General features: G+C 35.1%; 1 annotated feature.

Moving 5' to 3' along the window:
• Window positions 4,351–4,520: an enhancer, noted in NCBI's record as "experimental_84289 CRE fragment used in MPRA reporter constructs". NCBI's record gives its function as "activates a minimal promoter by MPRAs in K562 erythroleukemia cells, with activity observed for the non-introgressed 5:30680870 variant allele {active_cell/tissue: K562}" and the evidence as "EXISTENCE:reporter gene assay evidence [ECO:0000049][PMID:34662402]".

Genomic DNA, 4,943 nt, shown 5'->3' with positions numbered 1-4,943 from the left:
CTCACCATCACCATCACATATCAAGGTATGACTTGTTTTAGACTCCACTTCATCAACACCTCACTGAATGCTTTCCCAATCTCCAGTTCTAATCCAGGCTTTTCTCCTATGGGTAAATTTCTTTTCTGAAATATAAAGCTGATTCTATCACTCTGCTGCTGAAATCCCTTCAATTTCTTCTTATTGCCCTTTGAGGGGCAGGGAAAGCGTAGTCTGCTAGCATGAGGTGAAAAGTCCCAATTTGTGCTTCTCTCACCTTACATCGTACTAAACCCCATTCAAATAATAAACCCCAGTCATACTAAATTTAATTCCTCAAAAGTTATATCTATTTGGAATACATAAGTACTATTTCCATCTGTTGCCTAACATTTTTTAGCTTTATTGAGGTATAATTGAAAAATAGGATTGTACATTTTTAAAGTGTACAGTCTGAAGATTTGATCTACATATACATTGTGAAATAATTACCACAATCAAGCTAATTAACACATCCATCATCTCACATAGTTGCCTTCTTTTTTTTCATGAGAATGCTTAATATCTATTCTCTTAGCAAATTTCAAGAATGCAACATATACAATCATCATGCTATCCATTAGATCCTAAGAAGTTATTTTTCTTGTAACTGGAAGTTTGTACTCTTTAATTGACATCTCTTCACTTCCCTAACCCCACAGTCCCTGGCAACCAACATTCTACTTTCTTTCTGTGAATTTCACTTTTTTCAAAAAAGATTTCACACACAAATGATACCATACAGTGTGTATCTTTCTCTCTCTGGCTTATTCCACTTACCATAATGCCCTTCAGTTTCATCCATATTGTCAAAAATGTCAGTATTGTCTTCTGTTTTTGGCTGAATAATATTCGATGGTATACATATATTGCTTTTCTTCACTCATTCATCCATTGACTGACACTTAGGTTGTTTCCATATCTTGGCTATTATGAATAATTCTGCAATGAACATGGGAGTGAAGATATTTCTTCTGGAAACTTATTTTGTTTCCTTTGGATATATATCTAGAAAGGGAATTGGCAAATCACATGGTATTTCTATTTTAATTTTTTAAGGAATTTCTATATTTTTTCCATAATGGCTGTACCAATTTATTCTCTGACCAATGATGTACAAGGATTCCCTTTTCTCCACATCTTTGCCAAACTTTGTTATCTCTTGTTTATTTTGTATTTTATAATAGCCATTCAAACAGATGCGAAGTGATTGTGGTTTTGACTTGCATTTCCCTGATAATTAGTGAGGTGATGGTGAACACTTTTTCATGTACCTGCAGGCTGCCATTTGTGTATCTTCTTTGGAGAAATGTGTATTCAGATCCTTTGGCCATTTTTAAAATTTATTTATTTATTTATTTGACTTGTATGGATTTCTTACATATTTTAGATACGAATCCCTTATCAAATACATGATTTGTAAATATTTTCTCCTATTCCATTGACCACCTGTTTATATTGTTAATTGTTTCCTTTACTGTGTAGAAGCTTTTTCTATTCTTTTCTTTTTTTATTATTATTATTTTTTTGAGACAAAGTCTTACTCTGTTTCCCAGGCTGGAATGCAGTGGCATGATACTGGCTCACTGCACCCTCGACCTCCTTGGCTCAAGCAATACTGCCAATTCAGCCTTCCGGATAGCTGGAATTACAGGCTTGTACCACCAAGCCTGGCAATTTTTGTATTTTTTGTAGGGACAGGGTTTCACCATGTTGCCCAGGCTAGTCTCGAACTCTTGAGCTCAAGTGATCTGCCCACCTTGGCCTCCCAAAGTGCTGGGACTACAGGTGTGAGCCACCGCACCTGGCCTGTGGAAGCTTTTAATGTGAGGCAGTCCTACTCATTAATTTTTGTTTATGTTTCCATATTCAAAAAATCATTGCCAAAACCAGTGTCAAGGAGTTCTCTGCCTTACTGTTTATATGGATTAGCTTTCAGCTGAATTTTTTAAGACCAGGAAACCTATTCTGATTCACACCCTTGATTACCCCTTATCATATGCTCTATATTCCTGCTCTTTAGTTCTACAGCATAGCATGCCTTTCTTTTAAGACAGTATTGTTATAACAGCAATGTAATAAATATAATTTTTTAAAAATATAATTTTTAAATGCTGTTATAATGTTATAACAGCAATATAATAAATATAATTTCTTGTAGATCATCTACCTTATACATTGTAGCTCAGTGAGGACAGAACCCATGTGTGTCTTATTTACTGTGTCTGGTACAGAATATATTGTATATGCTCAGTAAAGATTTCAGGCATTGGAAAACACTGAATGCCTTAGCAATGCTGAGAATCCCTGAGGGCACAATGTTGTACCTTAGAGTGAGTTTCAGCAGAATTTTTATTCCTTTTTTTAAAGCTGAATTTTTAATTAAAAGTGGAATCCCAGTGTTTTGACTATTTATTGAGACATGGAAATTTCTATATGTGTTATACATCAACTCTGTCCATAGTTTTATTGTCAATAATGATTCTAAACTACCCCCTGCTTCTCTGCCAAGAGGAGGCTGACAGCTGTCTCCAGTGTTATATTTCTATATCCTAGGTGTTCTAATGGTGATTTATCATAGAAACACTTATCAATTTGCCCCCATTCTTTGGTTTTCATCTGTGCTTCTGACTACAATACTTTTCTTTTATGATAATGGATCCTTTTGTTTATCTTAATTCTGCCTTGCTGTAATTTTAAGGAGCTCTGTCTTCTACTTCTATTTTGTTGTATGATGAGAGAAAAAAATGGTTCCCTTACAATAATATACAAATGTATACAGTGTTTAATATGGTCTCTCTTCACTTTGCAGAACTGAATAATCTAGGCTTGTCTTCATATCAAAGTCCATGGTCAACCTATTCTTGCAATTACTTTAGTTGCCTTCATCCCTGTATTTGGGTGTAACTATCAGTTACTTCTGAAATGATTTTTCATTTCTCTGCTTCCAATTGTCAATAGGGCAGGAAGACACCATTAGAACACATCATCCATATCTGGATTTTGTCATCATGTTAAATGCTTAATGTAGCCAATGTAGTCTTCTCTGATTGTCTAGTTGTTTACTGTGTAGGGCTGTGGCTACCTGTTTCATTATTGTGTTCTACTTTTTTCCTTCCTAGAGTATTTGTAGTTTAATAGTGGTTCTCCACTGAGGACTAGGATGGACCCAACTAAATAACTATTTATTCTTAAGCATTTGGCATTTAGTTGGAGAAAATACTATTTTCCCAGTGGGACTTTCCTTGGAACATTCTAATCAACACAACTGGCAAATCTCCTCTTGTCTACATATGAACTTGTCTTTCCTGAGAGTTCATGTTAGTAAAAGACAATGTGGCAGCATAGGTAGAAAACATCTGTTCTTTTAAACTGGTTTTGTTCCTCTAAAGTGTTGCTAGTTCATTGTAAAATAGTGAGGCTCAAGGCAAATATGTATATTTTGTGTGTATATGAAATATTTTATGTGTATAGCATATATAAATACTTATAACTTTAAGACCAAGACATTTTCAATGTAAGAAAGATTATAACTAAGATATGAGCCACCTGGACATCCCCTAAGTCCTTAGCTTGCTTGAGTAGATGTAACCTTTAAGCTATGCATAAAATTGTCTTGAAAGCCTATCTCTCCTAAGGCAGAAGTGTAGCTTATGTCCCAGTATCTCCAGGGATTTAAAAAAATTATTTAGTTAAAAATTGTTAAAAATCATATATATTTATGGTGTACAACATGATGTTTTAAAAAATGAATACATTGTGAAATGGCTAAATCAAGCTAATCACCATATAATAACCTCACATACTTATCACCATGTTTATTGTGGTGAAAACAAAACATCTCCTCCCTTAGCAATTTGCAAGTATACAATACACTGTTATTAACTATAGTGACTATATGGACAACAGTTTTCATTAAACTTTTAGAACATGGAGAAATGTTACGGTTTAACAAAGAATCTAAAGCATTTTTTTGAGCGAACTTGGAAGTCATATATTACTGCCTAATCAGGCAGTAATATATCTCCAATACAGTTTGACATGTCTATTTGTATAACCATGAAAATTTTCAGTTTATAATTTTATAATCTGTTGCTTTTTCTTCACTCAGAGTATGAAATCTAGAATTTCCTATATCTTCAATATTGGGATAAAATTACTTATCAATCTAGTAGAGGTGAAGAGTCAAAAATACATTAGGTGAAAACAGTCTAAATAGTATTTATCAATGTGTGAAATATTTTGGAAATATTATTGAATATAGAAATTATTTGGAGATTGTGTTAGTCTGTTTTTTTGCCACTAATAAAGACATACGCAAGACTGGGCAATTTACAAAAGAAAGAGGTTTAATGGACTTACAGTTGCACATGGCTGGGGAGACCTCACCATCATGGTGAAAGGCAAGGAGGAGCAAGTCACATCTTACATGGATGGCAGCATGCAAAAAGAGGGCTTGTACAGGGAAACTCTCATTTTTAAACCCATCAGATCTCATGAGACTTATTCACTGTCACAAGAACTGCATGGGAAAGGCCTATCCCCATGATTCAGTTACCTCCCATGGGGTACCTCCCACCACACATGGGAACTATGGGAGCTACAAGATAAGATTTGAGTGGGGAAACAGAGCCAAACCATATCATTCTGTCCCAGTCCCTCACAAATCGCATGTCTTCACATTTCAAAACCAATCATGCCTTCCCAACAGTCCCCCAAAATCTTATTTCAGCATCAACTCAAAAGTCCATAGTCTGAAGTCTCATGTGAGACAAGGCAAGTCCCTTCTGCCTATGAGCTTGTATAATCAAAAACAAGTTAGTTGCTTCCTAGATACAATGGGGATACAGGCATTGGGTAAATACAGCCATTCCAAATGGGAGAAATTGCCAAAACAAAGGGGCTACAGGCCCCATGCAAGTCCA

Source organism: Homo sapiens, chromosome 5, assembly GCF_000001405.40.
Source record: "Homo sapiens chromosome 5, GRCh38.p14 Primary Assembly".
NCBI classification, from domain to species: domain Eukaryota; kingdom Metazoa; phylum Chordata; class Mammalia; order Primates; family Hominidae; genus Homo; species Homo sapiens.
The sequence above is the reverse complement of the archived record's forward strand: the minus strand, read 5'-3'. Positions and strand labels throughout refer to the sequence as shown.